This window comes from Homo sapiens, chromosome 2, assembly GCF_000001405.40.
Source record: "Homo sapiens chromosome 2, GRCh38.p14 Primary Assembly".
NCBI classification, from domain to species: domain Eukaryota; kingdom Metazoa; phylum Chordata; class Mammalia; order Primates; family Hominidae; genus Homo; species Homo sapiens.
The window spans coordinates 170,063,827-170,087,942 of NC_000002.12; the positions used below are offsets into that span (position 1 = coordinate 170,063,827).

At 36.6% G+C, this 24,116-nt stretch overlaps 1 protein-coding gene and 1 pseudogene across 1 annotated transcript in view, besides 1 other annotated feature; one reads left to right on the plus strand and one right to left on the minus strand.

The window, feature by feature from the left end:
- Window positions 1-20,305, plus strand: part of UBR3 (ubiquitin protein ligase E3 component n-recognin 3) — a 256,678-nt gene extending 236,373 nt beyond the window's left edge. The window contains exons 36-39 of the mRNA NM_172070.4: window positions 9,602-9,781; window positions 15,988-16,197; window positions 16,719-16,858; window positions 17,900-20,305. Coding sequence (NP_742067.3) covers window positions 9,602-9,781; window positions 15,988-16,197; window positions 16,719-16,858; window positions 17,900-18,017 — 648 coding nt within the window. The 3' untranslated portion in view covers window positions 18,018-20,305. The remainder of the gene's footprint in view (window positions 1-9,601; window positions 9,782-15,987; window positions 16,198-16,718; window positions 16,859-17,899) is intronic.
- Window positions 13,642-14,561, minus strand: NSA2P5 (NSA2 pseudogene 5; annotated as a pseudogene).
- Window positions 13,950-14,729: an enhancer, noted in NCBI's record as "OCT4-NANOG hESC enhancer chr2:170934286-170935065 (GRCh37/hg19 assembly coordinates)". NCBI's record gives its function as "activates a minimal SCP1, AML or CMV promoter by ChIP-STARR-seq in primed H9 embryonic stem cells {active_cell/tissue: H9 hESC(primed)}" and the evidence as "EXISTENCE:reporter gene assay evidence [ECO:0000049][PMID:30033119]".
- Window positions 20,306-24,116: the final 3,811 nt, after the last annotated feature.

Genomic DNA, 24,116 nt, shown 5'->3' on the forward strand with positions numbered 1-24,116 from the left:
ATGTTGTATATTGTAATATAAAGATTTCTTTAATATAAAGTTTCTCTGGGCTGTGTACCAGCTGTGGGATTGTTGGAGCCATAGGATACATTCTACCTATTTGTTTTTCTAAATGGCTGCTCAAGGCTTATATTCCCATTTGTAGTGCAAGAGGATTCTTGTTTTCCCCCATATACTTGCCAGCAGTTCTTCTTAGCCAGTGTGTAATGTTTGGCAGTCAGTTGAGTACAAAGCATATGCTTATGGTTAATTTAATTTGTATTTCTCTAATTATAAATGCAATTTCATATATTCATATACTTAGCCAGTTAAATTTCCCTCTGTATACTTTCTGTTCCTAGTCTGGCCCTTTTTAAAAATTGGGTTTCTGTGATTATCTTCATTCTGTTTTTAAGCATAGTAGATATCTTTTCACTGGCTTTGTTTAGCCATAGTGTCCTTTGTGGAATAGAAATTTTTCAGTTTAATGTTGTTAGAACGATTACCTTTTTCTTTATGACTTGTACTTTTAGAATCTTATTTTAAAAATTCTTTTCCATCATATACCCCAGAAATATACACACCTACTATGTACCCACAAAAATTAAAAATTAAAAAAAAATCCTTTTCCACCCTAAAATTATAAATTTATTTTGTATTTTCTTCTATTATTTTCATAGTTTTATCTTCACATTTAGATTTTTAATTCAGTCTGGAGTTTATTTTGTGGTGTGGTATGAGGTAAAGCTCTAATTTTTTCTCTATTTGATAAGACAGTTTTTCCAGCACTATGTACAAATTATTTATGAAATAATGTAACTTTTTTGGACTGATTTTTCATGGTATCAAGTTTTCAAATTTCTGGATTATTATATACTATTAAGCTATTTGTTTCTGTACTAGCAGCAGTTTGTTTTAATTACTGTGGTTTTATTATAGACATTATATCTGATAGTGTGAATGTCCAATTTATTCTTGACGTCTTTTTGCTTTTTCTATTTTTTTTTTTTTTTTTTTTTTGCTATATATGAGCTTTTATTCTTTTTTATTTTTTTGAGACAGAGACTCGCTTTGTCGCCCAGGCTGGAGTGCAGTGGCGCGGTCTCGGCTCACTGCAACCTCCATCTCCTGGGTTCAAGCAATTCTCCTACCTCAGCCTTCCAAGTAGCTGGGATTACAGGCATCCACCACCACACCCAGCTAATTTTTGTATTTTTAGTAGAGACAGGGCTTCACCATGTTGGCCAGGCCGGTCTCGAACTCTGGACCTCAGGCGATCTGCCCGCCTTGGCCTCCTAAAGTGCTGGGATTACAGGCGTGAGCCACCACACCCAGCCAAGCTTTTATTCTTATATACATTTTTTAATCTGTCAAGTTACTTCCCAAATCCTACAAGATTTTGGTTTGGAATTATCTTCAATTTATAGTTTTAAGACATTGAACGTGGTTTATACATTCATTTAGTCAGGTGTTTTAATACTTTTTTTGGGTGGGCGGGAGGAAGACAGTCTCACTCTGTTGCCCAGGCTGGAGTGCAGTGGCACGATCTCAGCTCACTTCAACCTCCACCTCCTGGGTTCAAGCAATTCTTGTGCCTCAGCCTCCCAAGTAGCTCGGATTACAGGTGCGCACCACCGCACCCGACTAGTTTTTTTGTATTTTTAGTGGAGACAGGATTTCACCATGTTGGTCAGGCGGGCTGGTCTCGAATTCCTGGCCTCAAGTGATCCACCCCCCTCAGCTCCCAAAGTGCTTGGATTACAACACTTTTAATAGAATTTTTTAATCGTCCAAGTAAGTCTGGAGCATTTTTTTTTATAAAGCTAATTAATTCTAGAGGCTTTATGGTTGTGATTTCTATTTAAATGATATCTTCTGTTACATTATCTGATTAATTTTTACTGGCATGTACAAATACCATTGATTTTTATATAGTTTTCTGACTGGCCACTTGCAAAGTTTTTTATTCTAATAACTTGCCTTTTTACTATTTTAGGTATTCTATATAATTATGATCATATAATCTGAAAATACTATATGTCCCATTTTAAGTCTTTATTTCTCTGTTGTCTTAGTGCACATCCAGTACTATTTTGAGCCGTGGAAGTGATAGGTAGTGCCCTACCCCACCCCCCGCAAAAAAAATGCTTCTACGTATCCCGTGCCTTTTTTTTTTTTGCTTTTATTATAAATAGAATCATTTAAGAGTTATGTTTTCTATGTGTCGCTAAAATGTAGAAACTTAATGGAATTTTTGAACATTAATCTTAGACATTTAGCTGTCCTGCTAAATTCAGTTATTCTTTCTAATAGTCTGGAGACTCTCAAGCTTAGCAGTACATTTTTTAATCAAACATTTTGTTAAGCATAGGAAATAATCAAGAATGGTAACTAGTAGATGTTCTAACACAGCAAGCTTGTTCTCCACAGTAATCTATTAGACTTCCTAATTTTGTTAAATATCTTAGTCTAGCACTATTTCTACCACCATGTTAGGACTAATGATAGTAACCTATATAGTTCCCTTATCTTTTCTCTCTTCTTAAATGAATCTGTCTCATTTATTCTCTAACTCCAGAATTCTAAATAGAGCAGCTTCACATAACTTTTAAGTTCCATAGCATTGTTTGTAAAGTAGTTTGTGTATGTGCATTTTTATTGGAAGAAAATAGTTATAAGATTCTCTGAGGGGCTCATGATTATCTAGCCCCCCCACCTCCATAAAACTTGAAGAACATTAATATATCTCCTTTTTTTCTTCTTCTGTCAAAATAATTTTCCCATGAAAAAATAATGATAGCTAGCATTTACTACACATTGACTACATGCTAAGCACTGTTTAAGTGCTTTGCATTTTAATTCATTTAAACTTCGTTATAGGCTGGGTGCAATGGCTCACGCCTGTAATCCCAGCACTTTGGGAGGCTGAGGTGGGCGATCACAAGGTCAGGAGATCGAGACCATCCTGGCTAACACGGTGAAACCCTGCCTCTACTAAAAATACAAAAATTAGCCAGGCATGGTGGCGGGTGCCTGTAGTCCCAGCTACTTGGGAGGCTGAGGCAGGAGAATGGCGTGAACCCAGGAGGCAGAGCTTGCAGTGAGCCGAGATCGCGCCACCGCACTCCAGCCTGGGCGACAGAGCGAGACTCCGTCTCTAAAATAATAATAATAATAATAATAATAATAAACTTCATTATAACTGAGAGGTAGCTATTATCCTCATTTTCCAGACAAGGAAGCAGGCGCACAGAGATGAAGTAACTTGCTCAAGATTCACACCTCGTAAGTAAAGCAGGCAGAATTTGAAAACATTTAGTTTGAACCCTGACCCTACACTGTTAACATCTGGACCCAGGCTATGCTGTTCCTTGCCACACAAAACATTTTTTGAGTTTCCTATCATAAGCTGGAAAAATGTTGCTATTTTTCTACCATTGGCAGTTCCCATCTTCCCAAGTTATTTTGTGCATTACATGTAAAATAAATTCCCTCTCTCAATAGAGCAAGAAGATATAATAATTGTAAACATATATGCACAAAATAACAGTGCCCCAAATTATATAAACAAATGACAGAATTGAAGGAAGAAACAGACAAATCTACATTATATTTGGAGACTTCAGTGTGCCTTCTTAGTAATCAATAACAAGTAGAGAGCAAATCAACTAGGATAAAAGAGACCTGAACAACACTATTATGACATAACTACATCTATAACTTCTCCAACAAACAGCAGAATATATATTATATATATACAACTACACATGGAATATCGTTCATTAGAATAAACCATGTGTCAAGCCGTAAAGTATCAATTTTCAAAGAAGTGAGTTATAAAGTGTGTTTTTTGACTACACAGAATTAAATTAGAAATTAATAACAGATAGAAAATCATCAAATCTGTGATAAGCATCATAATTCTAAGTAATTTGTGGATCAAAGCAGAAATCACAAGGAAATAATTTTTTTTTTTTTTTTTTTGAGACAGTTTCCCTCTGTTGCCCAGGCTCGAGGGCAGTGGTGTGATCTCAGCTGACTGCAACCTCTGCACCTGGGTTCAAGCAATTCTTCTCCCTCAGCCTCCTGAATAGCTGGGATTACAGGTGCCCAACACCATGCCTGGCTATCTTTTTTTATTTTTAGTAGAGATGGGGTTTCATCACGTTGGGCAGGATGGTCTTGAACTCCTGACCTCAAGTGATCCATCCACCTTGGCCTCCCAAAGTGCTAGGATTACAGGCATGAGCCACCTCACCCAGCCTAGAAAATATTTTTAACTGAGTGAAAATGTAAACACAATATACTGAAATTGTGGGATCCAGCTAAAGCAGTTCTTAGAGGCGTATTTATCACTTCAAATACTTTATTTGAAAAAAGAAGGGCCAGGCACAGTGGCTTTCGTCTGTAATCCCAGCACTTTGGGAGGCCAAGGCGGGCAGATCACGAGGTCAGGAGTTTGAGACCAGCCTGGCCAATATGGTAAAACCCCGTCTCTACTAAAATACAGAAATTAGCCGGGCATGTTGGTGTGCACCTGTAGTCCTAGCTACTCAGGAGGCTGAGGCAGGAGAATCACTTGAACTTTGGAGGCAGAAGTTGCAGTGAGCCGAGATTGTGCCACTACACTCCAGTCTGGGTGACAGAGCGAGACCCTGTCTCAAAAAAATTAAAAAATGAACGAACGCATAAAAATTAAAAAGAAGAAAGATCTAAATCATTATCTAAGTTTCTACCATATGAAGCTAGAAATAGAGCAAATTAGACCTGAAGCAAGTAAAAGAAAAGAAATAATAAAAATCAGAACAGAAATCAGTGAAGTTGTAATAGTGAAAACAGTAGAGAAAATGAATGAGTCCAAAATCTGGTTCTTTACAAAGATCAGTAAAACCCAGATGACAGGAGCTCAGCTGAGCTGGAAGAGAGCTGATTGATAAGAAAAAAAAAGGAGAGGTGGTACAAATGACCAGTATCAGGAATGAAAGGGAAGACATCCATATTGAGCCATAAGAGAATATATAGATAACATTTGCCAACAAGTTTGACAACTTAGATAAAATGGTTAAATTTCTTGAAAGATACAAATTACTAAAACTGACTCAAGAAGAAATAGAAAATCTGAATATATGTATATCAAGTAAGAATTAATTTAGTTATCAAACTTATATAATTGTTATGCATCCAGAAAAGAAATATCAAGAACTTTATACCAACAAAGATAACATTGTGGTAAACTCTGAGACATTTAAGAAAGAAATTGTACCAATACTCCTGAACCTATTTCAGAAAATAAAGGAAGAAGGAACACTTCTGAACTCAATTTATAAGGCCAGTTTTATCCTGATAGTTGAATGAGGCATTATGAAAAAAACTACAAACCCATGTCTCCCATGAACATAGAAGCAAAAGCCTTCACAAAATATTAGCAATAGAAAGGATAGTACACTATAACCAAATGGGTATTTTTCTTTTAGCTTTATTGAGGTACAAGAAATATTTGAGTTATAAATATTAAGGACAAGTAAAAATTATATATATAGTATACAATATGTAATGTTTTGATATATATGTATACATTGTATATGATGACCACAATCAGGCTAATTAACATATCCATAATCTCACATAGTTATCTGTTTTCTGATAACATTTAAGACCTACTCTGTTAGCAAATTTCAAGTATACAATACAGTATTATTAAATATAGTCATCATGCTGTACATTACCTCTCCAGAACTTATTCATCTTATAACAGAGTTTGTACCCTTTGGCCAACATCTCCCCATTTCTCCCAGACCCTGGCAACCACCGTTCTACTCTGCTTCTACTTTTTAAGATTCCAGTGTGAGATCATGCAGTATTTGTCTCTCTGTGACTGGCTTATTTCATTTAACATAATGTCCTTCAGATTCATTCATGTTGTGATAAATTGACAGCATTTCCTTCTTTTCTTAGGTTGAATAATATTTCATGTGTATACAGTCATCCATCGCTATCTGTAGGGGATTTGTTCCCCCCCCAGATACTAAGAGCCTTAGATGTTCAAGTCCCTTACATAAAATAGTGTAGTATTTGCTTATAACATATGCACACCCTCCCATATATTTTAAATCATCTCCACCTTAGATTACTTATAATACCTAATATAAATGCTATACGAATAGTTATTATATTATTTGTATTTTATTGTTATTTTTTAAAAAAATATTTTTGATGTATGGCTGGTTGAGTACATGGATATGGAACTCCTGAATACAGAGGGCTATTTCTTTATTCACTCATCCATCAATGGACACTTAGGTTGATTAATATCTTTGCTATTGTAACTAATGCTGCATTGAACATGGGCATGACCAAATGGGTTTATCCCGGAATGCACAGTTGGTTCGACAACAAAAGTCAATTAATTTAGTTCACATATTAATTGAATAAATGGGGGGGAAACCATATGATCATTTCATTTGTCAAAGAAAAGCATTTAACAAAATCTAATGTACTTTCATGGTAAAAACACTCACAAGGCTAGGAATAGAAGGGAATTTTCTCAGCCTGATAAAAGAGCATATCAAAAACTATTAGCTAACATCATGCTTAATAGTGAAAGACAGGAACAAGATTGGAACAAGACAAGGATGCCTGCTCTCACCACTTTTCAGCATTGTACTAAATTTTCTAGCAAGGCAGGTAGGCAAGAAAAAGAAAAAAAGACATCCAGATTGGAAAGGAAGAGGTAAAACAGTTCGTTTGCAAATAAAATGACCTTACCTCTAGAACACCATAAGGAATCTCCAAAGAAACCTATTAGAGCTAATAAGTTCAGCAAGGTTGTAGGATACAGATAGATGTACAAAAATTTCACTGTATTTCTATACACTAGCAGTGAGCAATCTGAAAATGAAATTAATAACATAATTCAAATTACAATGGGGTGATGAAAATATTTTGGAATTTGATACTGGCAAGGCTTGCACAATTTCATGAATATACTGAGAACCACTGAATTGTATATATTAAAAGAGTAACATTTATGGTATGTGGCTTATACCTAAAATTTTTTTCTAGCTGTGTGAAAGAAGACTTGTATCCAGAATGTGTCAAAAATTCTTTTAACTCAAGTGTAAGAAAACAAAAACCCAACACAAAAGTGGGCAAAACACTTGAATAGATACTTCTTAAGAGAATATATATGAATGGCCAACAAGTAGATGAAAAGATACTCAACATCCTTGTTCATTAGAGAAGTACCAATTAATATCACAAGTGATAATACCAAGTGTTGGCGAGGATTTGAAGTCCTAGAAATCTTATTCATTACTGATAGGAATGCAAAACGGTATAGTCAATTTGGAAAAAGTTTGGCAGTTTTTAAAAATATTAAGCATATGCTTACTATACAACCCAGCAGTTCTGCTAAGTATCAACTGGAAGAAATGAAAACATATGTCTACATTTAGACTTCTAAATGAATGTTCATAATAGCCAAATTCATAGTCAAAATCTGGAAACAACCATCAACATGTGAATGCATGAACAAAATGTGGTATAACATGAATGAGTCTCAAAATAAGTGAAAGAGGCCAGGTACATAAGATTACATCCTGTATGATTTTAATAGTAGAAATATCAGTGGCTGTTTGGGTCCAAAGAGTAGGGGCCAGGATTGGCTGCATAGGAACATAAGCAAATTTTAGGGTGTGATGGAATTATTCTAAAACTGTATTGTGATGGTGGGTGCATGACTATACATTTACCAAAATTCATTAAACTATACATAAAATGGTTGAATGTTATGGTATGTGGATTTATAGCTCAGTAAAGTTTTTTAAAATGCCTTCTTTGTTAAACTATATAAATGGAAGAATTGTAAATTTCTAGATATTTGAAAATTAACATGTTTCTCAGCCTGCATATAATTTTTCTTTTTCATCTGCATTTCTTCTTTGTAGCATATTTCAGAATTTTGTACTTAATGTGCATAATTAGTTTTGCAGACATTTGTTGAACGTCTGCTATGTGCCAAGCATTAGGAGGACAGAGTTCCTACTTCCAGAGAACTCACAGTTTTATGGAGAAGGCAAATTTGATTTTAAAGCAGTCATTAAAAAGTCAGGAAACAACAGGTGCTGGAGAGGATGTGGAGAAATAGGAACACTTTTACACTGTTGGTGGGACTGTAAACTAGTTCAACCATTGTGGAAGTCAGTGTGGCGATTCCTCAGGGATCTAGAGCTAGAAATACCATTTGACCCAGCCATCCCATTACTGGGTATATACCCAAAGGACTATAAATCATGCTGCTATAAAGACATATGCACACATATGTTTATTGCGACACTATTCACAATAGCAAAGACTTGGAACCAACCCAAATGTCCAACAATGATAGACTGGATTAAGAAAATGTGGCACATATACGCCATGGAATACTATGCAGCCATAAAAAAGGATGAGTTCATATCCTTTGTAGGGACATGGATGAAATTGGAAATCATCATTCTCAGTAAACTATCACAAGAACAAAAAACCAAACACCGCATATTCTCACTCATAGGTGGGAATTGAACAATGAGAACACAGGGACACAGGAAGGGGAACATCACACTCTGGGGACTGTTGTGGGGTAGCGGGAGGGGGGAGGGATAGCATTAGGAGATATACCTAATGCTAAATGACGAGTTAATGGGTACAGCACATCAGCATGGCACATATATACATATGTAACTAACCTGCACATTGTGCACATGTACCCTAAAACTTAAAGCATAATAATAATAAAATTTAAAAAAAGTAATAGGAACATAAATGCAAGAATAAAAGTGTTTACAAGATTTGAAGGACTAATTATATCTGAATGGAGCTGAGTGGTCTGAGGTTTCATTAAATGGTGTCAGGGAAGGCTTCCCTAGTGAGCTGGAATTTGGAGGATAATAGGAATTGATTCTGTGGACAAGGGAGAGTAGACACATTAGCTTCCTATGTGGTCTTTCGGTTAAATAAAGAGGGATTGGGGAATATATTTCTGTGTTTCCAAGACTAATAAGCTTCTTTAAATATCAACTTTTAAGATATGAATTCTTGGTCACTGATATCTCTGGTACTTTTATTAGCAAATAGAGCTTTGGATTACCTGGCTCCTAACAATTCCACCCCCCTTTTTAAAACTGATTTTGTTTCACACTCATTCAAAGTCTAGGCACATTATTTAGCACTCTCTCGTGAATTCCATGTTTTTATTATTGTTCCTTATCCACACTGACAACCTAAAAGTTTTAAACCAGAAATAACTTTCTCTTTGCCCCATATTAACATTTGCTTTCATAGAGTAGCTAGGTTCTATAGAACCATTAGATATATAACAACTCTATTTAAAAAATAAATGTATAAAAGAAGCAGATGACATTTAGGAGTTATATTTCAAAGAGATGTATTTTGGGGATATTTAGATATAACAGCTAGGAACCTTTTTCTCTCTTGTTTCTCTTACTCCCTTCACTTTTTTTCAGTTGACTCAGTTAAGAAAGTTTTCTTATTGTCTCAAAGTAATTGATGAGGGTGACCTTTTATGTAATAGGAAATGTTCTTGATGAAATATTTTCAGAATTTCCTATTTCATGTCTAAAAGGAAGAAGAAGAATTTTCAGTTCTTGCCAGCTGCCTGGGACTTCTGCCAACGTTTTACCAAACAGAACATCCATTCATCAGTGCCTCCTGTCTGGATTGGCCAGTTCCAGCATTTGATATTATAACTCAGTGGTGTTTTGAGATAAAATCATTTACTGAAAGACATGCAGAACAAGGAAAGGTATGTTAAAAGAGTTGTACTAGCTTGTCACGGTGGTGATATGCTAATAGGTAAGAGAATAATGAGGACTGTTAAATTTTAGGTCATCTGTTTTTGACAGCAATTATAAAACTTGATTAAATTGAAAAAATTGTTTACTTATGTAGATTGTATTTATAATGGAAGAAATATTTCAGCTAACAAAGGTAAGGCATTAGTCAATACTTTTAGTTTGTTTGGGGTCAGCAGATTTTTATTGAATACCTTAAGTAATCATAGGATTAGACTTGGTAGATACAAAGGAATTTTAAGGTAGACAAGGAATTTACATTTTTGTTTGAAGAACTGGCTTATATTTTTAAAACAAATTGGACTAGCAAATCTAAAAGGTCATGTCTTTAACTTTAAAATTTCTTGGGCCTATGCTACCAGCTCAGCTAGTTAAAGGGTTTGTATTGAAGATAAGTAGAGTGGGAACAGCAGTGAGTGGCTGTGTATGCCATGGTTGGAGTCTCAGAATTCTAGAACTACAGTTTTTTAAAATTGAATAATGTGATGAAAGTAGTATTTTGGGGAGTAATTCTGGTGTCTTTTTAGTGGATAAATTAAAGTAAGGATAAAGGGAAGCCAGAAAATATTTAGGTGGTGAAAAAAATCTAGACTATTTTTCTGATTGTAAAACTTGGAAAGTAACTAATGTAAGAGACATTTGAGAAAAATATAGGACTTGGTGACCAGATGTACATGACTTTAAGATCTTGAACTCCAATCATTAGGAGAGTAGTGTCTAGTATATACAGCTACAGTAGGAACATGCGGCTGCTTAAACACCATTGCTGATGCCCCATTGCCTATGGAAGAAGGTATGGACTCCTTGCATGGCACTCAAGGATCTTCACCATCTTGCTTGCCTTTCCATCTCATCGTATAGCCTCCCTCTGCCATTACCTTGCTCAAATCACAAAAGAATGTTTCATAAGTATGCTATACATTTTTAAACTTCTAGAACATTACTTATTGCTGTTACTAAAGCAACCTTCCTACCCTTCTGTTGAATTAATAATCACTGTTTGCTAAGTAACATTTACCTTTGCTAAGATAAATGTGACTTCCTCCATGAAGATTTGTCTGATAGTCCATCTTCCTTACATCCTAATCCCTTTTTTTTCTGTTGTTCTATAAGGCTGTACTTTTGTGACTTTCTCTAACAGTTGCCATGTTCATTACATTTGTTTCTTTAATGTATCTGAATGGGGGCTCCACGAAGCAGAAATTGTTCCTTATTTATCCCCGGTTTCTAGAAAGTGCCTCATATATACTAGTCACCTAATAAATATTTGTAGAACAATTAAGTTGTGGGGTGGTGTCTTTGGCAGAAATAGAACGTATTAAAGGGGAGCCAAGTTTCAGGGAAAGTGAGAATTTTAATTTTGAACATCAAAGGGACAATAAAAAATTAATATTTCAGATGAATGTGTCAGACTAGGTTTCATTTTTAAAACATTGGAGTGAATAATAAAAGATAAGCATAAGTTATAAATGTCTCTGCTTTTGTTCTTTTCCATTTTTTGCTGAAATCCTTAAAAAGATGCTATCTCATTTTATACCCTTTTTTTAAAAAAAAAGGGAAATTCAAGTTAATTGAATCTTGCATATTACATATACAAATATCTTCCTGTCTAGTAATTTCTTTATTCACAGAGCATATAGCAATAATTTGACATCATACTTTGATGTCTGAAAACCTATGCAGGATGACATGGAGTAAGAGGGGTATAATTGTAGAACCAAGGCAGGGAAAAAAGTGATGAGCACACCCAGAGTTTGTCTTCATATGAGCCATAGGTTAAAATCAAGCCTACATTTTAGATGAATGATTATTGTATGTATGCTGATGGAAAATAAGAATTTTTCATTTTAAAATATTTAATCTTTTCATATAATTAGGTGATAATTATTGTAGAGGCAGTGTAGTAGACATTTGATTAATTTATTAATTTATGCTAATGCAGAATTTTTGCCAGTTATGTAAGTACACCACCATTTGACCTGTATTCCCCCTTGTGTCCCTGCTCCACTCTTGTGTTCCTAACCCTGATCCTGACCCTAGGTCAACCAGATTCTCTTTCTCAGGAATGTTAAATCTGTATAGCGAGACTTAGCAGGGTAAATGGTGACAGGAGCTGTATAGTCCAACAGTACTACCCTTGAAAAACTGTCTGTGAATTACTACTTCTGAATTTTTTTATCAGTTAAGATTCTTTGTTTGGGAACAACAAAATCCAGTTCTGATTTAAAATAAGGAAAACCAAAGCAAACTATGACAGAAAAAAAAAAAAAAACAGGATTCATTGGAAGCATACTTGGTAACCTGCAGAATTGAAGAGCTTAACTGTCATCGCTTGGGAAGAAGAGAAACCACAAATATCTCTGCTCTGTTTTCTCTGAAGTGCTGCCACCAGATAACTAAGCCTCAACCATTTTCCTTCCTTTAATTTGCATGCTCAAGGTTCAGATTCCTGGGAGAGAGAATCTGGTTGGCCTAACTGTTGTAATACATATACCCCAGTGGTGGGGCAGGATCTTGTGTTGGGGACAGCCCCATCAGAACTGTACGGAGCAAGAAAAGGGGTTATTTTCTAAAAGAACTTATAATGTTATTAATATAAGAAAGCAGCAAAGGATGCTAGGAGGATTTAAAAAACAAACTAGTGGCCCACTACTTTCACATCTTACCTGCCTGGCTCATACACACCCTTCTTCTCATTCACAGTTTCACTTCTGCTGTTGAAAATGATGTAACCATTTTACTTATGACTGCAAATGCATCTGTGACTTTCCCAAATAAGCAACCTGATGTCACATATAGTCCTTACATCATCAGGCCTCTCTGCATCCAGTAGCTCTGAGAGATGTCCATTGTTCCTGTCATTTGTACTCACACCCAGATGGCCTGGAAAATTTTAATTAGTACCTGCTCACCCTGAATTCAATAGTAAGAGAATGAAAATGTTGCAAAGATATATGATACAGTAAGCAAGATTTGCAAGTAGTCATAAAGCTGCAGCTAATATACAGTCAAATATATATGACTTTCTTCTTTTACCATCCGTGATCCAGCACACCTCAACGGATGATTGGATTTGTTTGAGCAAGGATGTGATACCAAACTTTATTCTGAAAGGGCTGAGCTTCTGGTGATTGGTCCTGTCTTTGTTTCTATAAGGCTGTAATCATTCTGTGTTAAATTTCTGCCTTTCAAGCTTGGTCTATGGTAGGGGTGGTGGTAGGGGTTTTTAAGTTCCAAAATATTGCTCTACCAATTGTATGGCAATATTTTTATTCTTCTTGATAGTCATGGTCAATCCCTCCAGGCAATGCGATAAGCCACCCTTGTGATGTTATAAACCGTACTAGAGGTTAGACAGTACATAGCTTGTAAATCCGCAGAAGAGTCCGGAATAGCAGTGAAGCAGAAATTTAAGACCGAATTTTTTTTTCCATTTTAATGTTTACAATTTAATAAATCTCTTGATTGCAGACATGTAAGGCTGTTTGGTAGTATTCAGAAACATCACAGTAATGGCAGTTTTTTCAGTTGGTGTGTAGTCTTCAATAAATATCTATGAAAGTGCTGTCAGACCAGTAAGACTGCATTTATACATCCATCATTTTCAGGATTGTTGGTAACCACAGCCTATTTTCCCCAAATAACCTTGCCTCCTTGTGTCACAAGGCCCAACTCACATTCACCTCAGTAACAGTACCTTTGGTAATAACATCCAAAGTTATATACATTGGGAATGAGGGACTCTTCTTTACACCAAGTATTGTTAGGCAAAAGGTGGCTTTCAGTTCAGGATGTGTTACATGGGCTTTCTTGAAACGCAAGCCCATTGGCCTGATGAATCTTCCATAGATAAGTAGTTTTCTTGTAAAGCCATCTCCAACAAAGCAGACTTTAGTAACCATCCTCCTCTATGCCTGCGTCTTTCTCTTTCCTGTTGGAATAACTTTGAGACAGAGTCTCACTCTGTTGCCCAGGCTTGAGTGCAGTAGAGCGATCTTGGCTTACTGCAACCTCAGCCTCCTGGGTTCAAGTGATTTTCCTGCCTCAGCCTCCTGAGTAGCTGGGATTACAGGCGCCTGCCACTATGCCCAGCTAATTTTTGTATTTTTAGTAAAGACAGGGTTTCACCATGTTGCCCAGGCTGGTCTTGAACTCCTGACCTCAAATGATCTGCCTACCTTGGCCTCCCAAAGTTCTGGGATTACAGGCATGAGCCACTGCACCTGGCTCTGTTCAAATAACTCTTAACACTTCTGTATCTCCCTGGGCAAGTTACATTTAGACAGAGGGACTTTCCATTTTCCTGCTTTCTCTTTTCATTTCGGCTTAATCATACTGGGAAGTACGTTAGCTTGAGGTTGTCCCTCTCTGTCCAGCAGATAGGCAGGTACTGCTCCCTGTGGAGTCTTTCTTTTGTCTGGTGTTTCTCTTTTCATGCATCTTGATGGTCTTTTTCATTTGTATTTTCTCAGCATGGTGCTGTTTAAGATAAAGCTTAGCCTTCAGACCAATCATTTTCTTTGACTTCTTTGAATGTTCATAAGCCTCTCAACTTTCCTTCTTTCCCTTTTTCTCATGGTAATCCAAATGATATCCATGGCATTTACAGTGTAATTCAATATATTTGATCTGTGGCATGGCACAGGCGCAGCCCCTGGGGTGCGAAAATGCTCTCAATTTTTGGGTCTCAGAGACCCACGAGTGAACTCCACACAGGCCGCAACAGGAAAGGCAAGACCGAATTTTAGGTGTAATCATGAGAGGTGTTACAGCTGTTAAATACTTTCCACCTCTTGTTTCCCATACATATGCATTCCAATTGTGAAAAAGGTCACCCATATATACTGGTTGCTGTTTAGAGCATACACATTCTGTAGGTGATTTCTTCCAGCTGGTGCCATCTAAAAGTTTGTAAATTTCATGAATTTCATAATTTTTGTGGCACTGAAAAAATCAGTTTTGTAGTTCATGATTTAAAATACCACAGCTTTTTTCAGATGATTGAATATATGTTAAGATCAGTGAATTCCATGGACATCCACCTGTTGCCTTACATCTCTCTTCATGAGGGAAATTATTGGAGGTAATGTGCTATGGGCTACTGGATAACATGCAGCCTAACCTATAATAAGTGTCAAGTTCAGTGAGGACAAATTGTTATCCCTTCCCTTTAATGGAAGGGTTCCACTGTAATCAACTCATTACAGAATGCCATCCTTGGAGTCCAGGGTTGGGTGCTGAGTATTGGCAAATGATGTATTGTATACTGTTCTTATCATTGCTTCCATGGACACTTAATCCATGAACTTGTTGATGAGGAACAAGCTAGCTTAGTTACTCCACTGATTTAGGTGGATTATGGCTGCATGTAGGTAATGTGAGATGATCTCCATTTAAATTGACTATTACTTACAGTTTCTTAAGATAATAGACTCACTCTACATTTTATCTTTTTTAAGTGTGAATGGAGTAGCATCTAGAAAAATTTAGTGCTGCTGCCAGTATTTTTATACAGCTGCAAATAGTTAATAAAGCATACCCTTCAGGGAAATTTAACTAATTTGACAATTTTTTTATTCTTATAGCAAGACATTTATGAAAAGAATTGTAGCCCAGCACTTATGGATATAAAAGATCTTAACAGCTTGAGGTGCAATGAATTGTACATACTCTAGGAAAGCAATTCTACATTATAAAGTATTAAAGTAGAAAAAATGAGTTATAACCATGATCTGTCCTAAAGAAAAAGCTAAAGAATTGTTTGAGAATGATCAAAACTTGGTTTTAAAAAATACGTAACTTTTAAAAACCTTTGCACTATGCATGTTTAAAGTCAAATACAATTAGATGTATTTTCCCTGCATGCTTAGAGATGGTGTTTTTCTTTTAAAGTAATAACAAGTTTAAATGTTTTAAGGTGCTTAATCTAAAAAATTAAATCATACTGTAATTGGAAACTATAATACATTAGATAATGGTAACTGTTGAACTACTATTTTAGTCATGTATAAGATGGAAATGAGAGGAGTGTTAATAAAGAAAATAAGCCACATTCTTGGAGGCAGATTTTTCTTTCTGTAAAAATACATTTAAAAAATATATTGTGTTAGTGACTTAAATACATAAAACTAATGAATATTTTTGGATAATGTTTTAGGCCTTGCTTATCCAAGAGTCAAAATGGAAATTACCACACCTACTACAGTTGCCTGAGAATTATAACACCATTTTTCAGTACTACCACAGAAAAACCTGTAGTGTCTGCACCAAGGTTCCTAAAGATCCTGCTGTTTGCCTTGTGTGTGGTACTTTTGTATGCCTGAAAGGACTTTGCTGCAAGCAACAAAGTTACTGTGAATGTGTACTGGTAAGCAATAGTAGATAATACAAAATTTATGAAAACACAGATCTCATATCACAAAATATGGTCAAGCCATCTCTTCATATTAACTACTCTTTGAATTAAGTATATAATACATATAGGGATTGTGTGTGTTTTTTAATCCAGTAGAAGAGTAAAAAAAGAAAGTCTTTGAGGCTTTAAGTGAGTAAATCCTTCCTTAAGTACAATTCTAGTTCTCCTTTCATCTACTATCCCTTTAATGGTATGTACTTTGGAATGTGCTGTGAAACAGAAGTCATCTGTGCTGTTGAAGATACTAGACTCTGAATTAGGTTGGCTCTTAATTGCTTTACTAGATATTCCTTACCCAAATACCTCCTAATGTATTAATAATAAAGTGTTAGGAATGGAGTTATAAGTTTAACTTAAATGAAATCTTACTATTTTTAAATCACTGTATTATTTAGAAGGCATTAATATATTCTTGATTTTATTATAAAGCCTATTTGATTATGAAGTTCATTAATATATTTTTAATTTTTTAGCACTCTCAGAACTGTGGTGCAGGAACAGGTATTTTCCTTTTGATCAATGCATCGGTAATTATCATCATTCGAGGTCACCGCTTCTGCCTCTGGGGTTCCGTGTATTTGGATGCTCATGGAGAGGAAGACCGGGATCTTAGGTTAGATGTTCATGGATATATCCAGGTGTTTTATTGAAATTTGGTCAGTGAAAACCAATATGCTATTCCTGGCTTTGTAATTACAATTTTTTTAATATTAAGAAATTCTGACAGTCATTAATTTAGAGCTATTTCTAGTTTTTGAGCTATTGTCCCTATCAATACGTTGAGGAAACATGAAATACACCAAATTACCATGTGAGGTTTTTGCCACAAAGAATCCGTTGGCCAGGCCCAGTGGCTCACACCTGTAATCTCAGCACTTTGGGAGGCTGAAGCAGGATTGCTTGAGCCCAGGAGTTTGAGACCAGCCTGGACAACATAGTGAGACCTCATCTCTACAAAAAAATAAAAATAAATAAGCCAGGTGTGGTGGTCATACACCTGTGGTCCCAGCAACTCGGGAGGAGGTGGAAGGATCGCTTGAGCCCAGCAGGTGGCGGCTGCAGTGAGCTGTGATCGTGCCACTGCACACCAACCTGGGCAACAGAGAAAGACTGTCTCAAAAAAGAATCTAGTAAAAAAAGAAATGTGGTAGGTGTGGTGGCTCACGCCTGTAATCCCAGCACTTTGGGAGGCCGAGGTGGGTGGATCACTTGAGGTCAGGAGTTCGAGACCAGGCTGGCCAATATGGTGAAACCCCGTCTCTACTAAAAATACAAAAAATTAGCCGGGTGTGGTGGCGGGCCCCTATAGTCCCAGCTACTCTAGAGGCTGAGGCAGGAGAATGGCATGAACTCGGGAGGCGGAGCTTGCAGTGAGCCAAGATCGTGCCACTGCACTCCAGCCTGGGTGACAGAGTGGGACTCCGTCTCAAAAAAGAAATAAGTAAATAAAAAATAAAAAAATAAAAAAAGGAGGCAGGCATGGTGGTGAGCACCTGTAATCCCAGCTACTCGAGAGGCTGAGACAGGAGAATTGCTTGAACCCAGGAGGCGGAGGTTGCACTGCGAGAGACTGTCTCAGAAAAAAAAGAAGAAAGAAATGCATGTGAAATCTTCCGTGTATGATATTAATACTTTTTTTTTCTTTTTGTTCTAGGCGAGGCAAACCTCTCTACATTTGTAAGGAAAGATACAAAGTTCTTGAGCAACAGTGGATTTCTCATACTTTTGATCACATCAATAAAAGATGGGGTCCACATTACAATGGGCTGTGACTCTCCACCTCAGCATTGCATCGTATCATCATTTTCGCTACGAATTTATTTTTCAACAATAAGCTTTAACTTAATTTGGGGGATTAACACTTTTGCTGAGGGAGAAAAAGAAAACATACATTATGAAGCCTTTCCAAAATTAGGTGCTTGGTAATCACGTTAATGGTATAATTTTTTTTTTTTAATATCTGGAGAACATTAATAACAAGTTAAATTATTCTTTAGTGGTCATTTTTTAAGTGCACAATTAATAAGAAGCACAACTTGTTCACAAACTCATTCAGAAATGATTCTCCCAACAATGCGTATCAGCTATTCATTGATACTTAGAGTGGGTGTGATTTATTTGACATTTTACTGCTTCTTTCTGTCTGTGTGTTTTAATTTGCATCTGCCAAGCATAATGCATCTTTTTTCCTCTGCCATTCTTGTGTTGATTGGAGAATTTTTCTGTATGTAATTAGAAAAAAATGTAAAACATGATTTATGTGAAATACTGTATAGTAAAAGTTGGTCTAATAGTAGAACTTTAAAATTTTTTCTTATTGTGAGGAATCTGTTAAAAGTTTAAAGCTTTGCTGAAAACTGAATTCATTCTCAGGAATTTCATAAATCTTCTCCCCAGGTAAATAATTGAAATAGCTGTAAAATAAGTAGATAGCTGCTGTTAATATAATACAGTACATTTTGGGGGGCATATGTGTGGTTGGGGGGTCCTTAAAAATCAAAATTTGCCATTTCAGTTGGATGAATTACTAGAGGTAATAACAAATCTTACTATGAAATCAAGAGGTTTAAGAACATACACTGGGCAGATGTTGATTCCGTGCATGCCCACCTTTTATTACCAAACAAGGTTTTGTTTATATGATTGTATTAGAAATGCTCAGACTTCCCCAGAAATGAACCATAAATTTTGGAACTTCCTTTCAGCTCAAGAGGTTCAGCTATATTGTATTTGTGCAGTGTAATCACTACTATTTCTGCTCGGTTTCCTAAAAGGAAAAAAAAGGCGCAGTGGTGATGACCCTCATGAATGAGCCACGCTTCTGCATTCTTCTTAGAAACTGCTGTGAAAAACAATTTATGTTTGCAGGGTTTAAAAATCAGTAAAAATGGGAATGATTGAGCTAAAACCCACTCTATGAGAAGGAAGATTACTGAAAAGCATGTGACATATTGCTACAAAGATTTTTTTTCCTAAATGATTCAGTAATTGAATGATTATTTAATATATAGTGCTATCAAGCAATCCCTGGTACTTTGGACTTCCATGGCTTGTTATATAAAATTACATTTTTACATGTAAAAATAAACTAAACAAATCTAATGATAAAATATGTCAGATCCATGTTCTAAAAAATTTTTGTAATGACATGACATTACAAGAGTATAAAAATGGACATTAAATCATGGCCTTGCATTAAAATATGGAAAGCAGAGCAGTACATATTCAAATGTATTCAGAAAGTCAAAAGATTACCTATCGTTCTACAATAAAATACATGGAAATAGCTTGCTATTTTTATATACATTTCCAAAATATTAAGATAACTTTCTGTAAGAGTCAATGATTCTGTTCGACTAAATAGCTGTCCTTTCCAACACATTGCTACTTTTTTAAATACTGTATCATAAGTTCAGCCTGTCATACTTTTTGCATTGATCGTTATGAATACCAGACCATTTGTAAGTGTGGTTGAAGAGCAAAATGCTAATTGACATCTCTAGTAAATACTGTTACAGGATTCATGAACTTGAATAATTCTACAGTTTGAAACTCTGATGCTATATATACATGGTATAATGTATTCAGACTTTGATTACTACTTATTTAAAATGGAATGTTTTATGGTTGTGCATATGGATGTGAAGTGAAAATATTAGCCTTAACTTTAAAATTTGGGTGTTTGATAGTGTTTATTTTGATATTGGTGAATTAGTCACCAGTAAATTTTAAAAAAGCACTTGGTTGAAAATTGTACTTGAATACATACATGCATGCTGCTAAACTAGAACTTTAATTTTTCCCCATAACTTTTATAAGTCCCATTTATAAACCCACTTTTAAAAATAACAGGTCCAAGTTAGAGTGATGTGTGTATATTATTCAAAAAAATGTACTGGTGTGATATCTTGTATGAATGATCATTTAAATACAGTACATTACTGTAGAAGCTAAATTGATCTTTATAATTAAGCAGAAATTACAAAACTAGGAATAATCAACATTGTAAGATATGTTAATAAAAACCTGCTGTCATTTGGTTTGTGAAAGGTCCTTAAAATGTTTACTGCTTACATGTTTTTTTTTCCCCCAAAGATATTGACAGTAATATATGTGAGTGAACATGGCTGAAAAGATCAAAGCACAACATAATTAGTAGTTGCTTTAGGGTGGAGTAAGTGTAAAGGGTTTGCTTTGCTTTTTTTCTTTTATTTGCAGAGTGAGTTCTTGCTTCTTCAGTCCTTGTCTCATAATCAATGCACATTCTTTGCTAAGTGTGTGTGTTTGGTAGGGGGAGAAGGAAATGGGTATGTAGATCTGAGGAATTGTGATCTCTGTTCTTTTCTGAAAGTTCCCAGCCAGACTTCAGAAATGTTTAGTGCTTTATGAGAATGTTTATTTTGAGTGGTTTGCATTCTTGTTTGAATTGACAGTCCTCACCCCTACCTCTCCATCCTGAAGCTCACCAGCCATTTATCAGCTAGCAGTCCATTTCTCTTCAGACCTTTCTCTGTTTTATGTATTCCGATATTTACTGATTTCTGTGACTTAGAAAAAGATGCTGACTAAAAGCACTGAAGGCTTAGAGGAAACAGCAATATGGGAAGAGATGTGGTCTAAGACTCTCTGTATTATCTCCAGGATTCTAATTGCTGACTCTCAAATGGCTGTTGATGGCTTATATTTGAGATCATATTTGGGGTTGGGGGGGACACAAAGCATGGTTTTAACCACTAGAATCAAATCACCGAGAGAAGATGAATTCATTGGTGAGGATGCCTGATGATTGATGATTGTGGGAGAGCAGATGACTTATGACTGTGTCTCAGTCCCATTCACAGCACATAGTTCTTTCCTCTGCCTTATGATCTGGCTAGATGATATCAAGCACTGCTTAGTTCAACAGGGATGAGCTGGAGTGGGCAAAACAGCAACATGATCACTTCTCTATTTATGACACTTCAAGCTCCCTATTAATTAGGCATATCAGGTATGGAAGAGCTATGACCTGCCATCTTAGTGTACAGTACAAGTAGTGGAATGAATGTGACTTCAGCTGATGCAACACAGTGAAAACACACAATGGAACCTTGTGTAGAGCTGCCTTTGTGCAAGTTAAATTAATGTAAGATGTGACAGTACCAAAATCAGTGAGGTAGAGCCCAAGAGCAGACCAGAAGGAGTGGGGTCAAGAGCACAGATAAAAGCTTCAGGTTGAGGGGAAAAGATACAAGAGAAAAGGAAAGAAAGTCTAGAGCAAAATAAGAGGATTTGTGTCTGATTCCCTCTTCTCTTGGTGACAAAGGAGCAGGATCATGTACCGAGAGTGAACAGGCCTAGCATATCTGGGGGCTTGAGATAAGTGGCAAAAGCTTAGACATATGCTAGGAGAGAGAACAGGCCAGAAATAAGGGGAAGCACCACTGAAGTTATATTGACAGCCAAGTGGGGTTAGAAAACCTAAGTTTAATGGAGCCAGTTAGAAAGATTCTGTAACTTTGTGGAGCCCCTGAGTTTAGCAGCTTAGGACCTGAAGGATAGAAATTAGACTGCTAAATTAACTGGGGTTTGGAGACACGGATACAAAATGTAAAGGATGCAATATAAGTTAAGAGAATTAGGGGAGCTGGTTGAAATGAGTGTGGGGTTCATGTTGGATTTGTAGGGGCGTAGGATTGGAAGACACAATAAGATTTAGTAAGACAATGAACTCTTTCAAAGTTTTCTTTTGAACTTACGCAAAATTGCTGCAATGTTGAAGCATTTAAATTCGTTTATTTAGTAAATATTTATTGCACTCCTCCTGTGTACCAAGCACTATGATAAATACTGGAAATACAGTGGAAAAGAAGTCAGATAGTCCCTTCTCTCACCTCGCTTTCTGTATGATTAGTGTTACAAATGGTATGTGTGTTTGGAGGAGAAGAGAAGTAGAGTAGAAGGTGCTATAGATGGACCCTCTAAACCAGACTTGGGTGTATGAGGAGGCTTCCAGTGGGGAGAGATGATGATTCCCAAATATTGTGTAGGTGATATCTGGGTGAAACAAGTGTGGAGAGTAGTGATTCAGGCAGGCATAGAGAATATTGTTTGCGACGAGTTGAGAGAGCACTTGTGGATGTGAAAGGGAATCATTTTGACTGTAAGCATAGGTGCTTTTGAGAGGTAAAATCTAAATTACAAAGAGTTTTGTAAGCCATGCTGAGGGTTTTAGACTTTTTTAGAGAGCAATGGGAAGGCATTTTAGGGCTTTAGATAGTAGAGTGACATCAGATTTGCATTAGAAAAGTCAACCTGGCTGCACTCTGGAGAAAAATCCACTAGAGTGGAGAAACCTGCCAGGCATCTGTTGAAAGACTCCAGATAAAACATGATAGTTGGCTCAAGTAGGGGAGTTGTGGTCGGGACAGAGAGATGTGGACAGTATCTGAAGAGAGTTGACAGAATGCAGTAACATGAGGGACGGCCAAGAATATTGAGTGCCTAAGGTGTGCCAGATACTAAAGTAAGTTATAGGGATCCCACGTTGAACAAGACAAAGGGTCAGTGTCTGCCTACAGTCTGGTGGAAAACAACACTGATTATGTGATTACAGTTCAATAGGATGTTATCAGCAAGTTAGTCTATGGGAATCAGTAGACTCGTTTAGTTTGGGAAGTTCACAGGTTACATGGAAGAAATGATGTTTAAGCCAAGACCTGCCTGAAAAAGTGAGCTAAGTGAAGAGGGAATGGGGGAGGGCATTCTAAAGAGTGCAGCACATAGACCCTGAAATAAGAATAAGGAGGGTTGCACTCAGGAAACTGAAGGAAGTACAGTATGGTTGAAGCATAGAAAGCAGAAGAGCATGTGGTAAGAGCTGTTGCAGGAACAATAGGCAGGAATCAGATCATGGCTTCCTGAGTAGTGTTATGGATGTTGGGCTTTGTGGCCTCTATTTTGGTTATTACCTCAGTTTAGAGCAGAGGTCAGCAAACCTTTTCTATTTTGGTTATTGCCTCAGTTTAGAGCAGCAGTCAGCAAACCTTTTCTATAAAGGGCCAGATGGTTTCTGTCACAACTATTAATCTCTGCCAGTATAATACAGAAGCATCCTAGACGTACACACACACACACACACACACACACATATGCATATGGATGTGTATGTGTGTGTGTGAATGGGCATGGCTGTGTTCCAGTAAGACTTAATTTACAAAAGCAGGCCGTAGGCCAAGAGAATGAGAGGAGGGGAACAGGAACATTTGGGAAAACCATTCAGGAGGGTAACTCAGTAGCCAGAGGAGAGATGAGGATGGTGTATGATGTATACTAGGGCAGTGACAGAAACCACTTATGTTCTGGCCTGATGGTTGGTTGTGTTATTTCATGAGCTAGAATCAACTTTATCCAGGTATAAAGTTGAATGTGATATGTACAGATTTTGACCAGTTGAAAGTGAGGCTTTTGTGAGTCATCCAAATGGGGATGTGATAATTGATGGGTTTGAAGGGTAGATGCTCAGGGGAGTCATCACCAACAAACTGTAACTGAAGCCGTGGGAATGGATCTCATCCAGAGAGAAAAGGGCCTGTGGTAATACCCTTAAATACTATCTTCATTTAGAGGACAAGCAGAAGATGGTTAGCCTGAGGACAAGATTTATGAGAGACGCAGATAGGAAGGAGAAAATTTGGAATGTGAAATCCTAGAAGGAATTATGTTTTTTTTTTAAAAAAAGGAACCAGTCAACAAGTGTCAAGTTCTGTGGAGAGGTTAAGAGCCAAAATGTATTCATTGGATTTTGTGACAAAGGAGGCAGTTGATATCCTTGATGAGGATAGTTTTGGTGACGTGGTTGGGGTAGCAGCCAGAACATGGCTTTTGGAGGT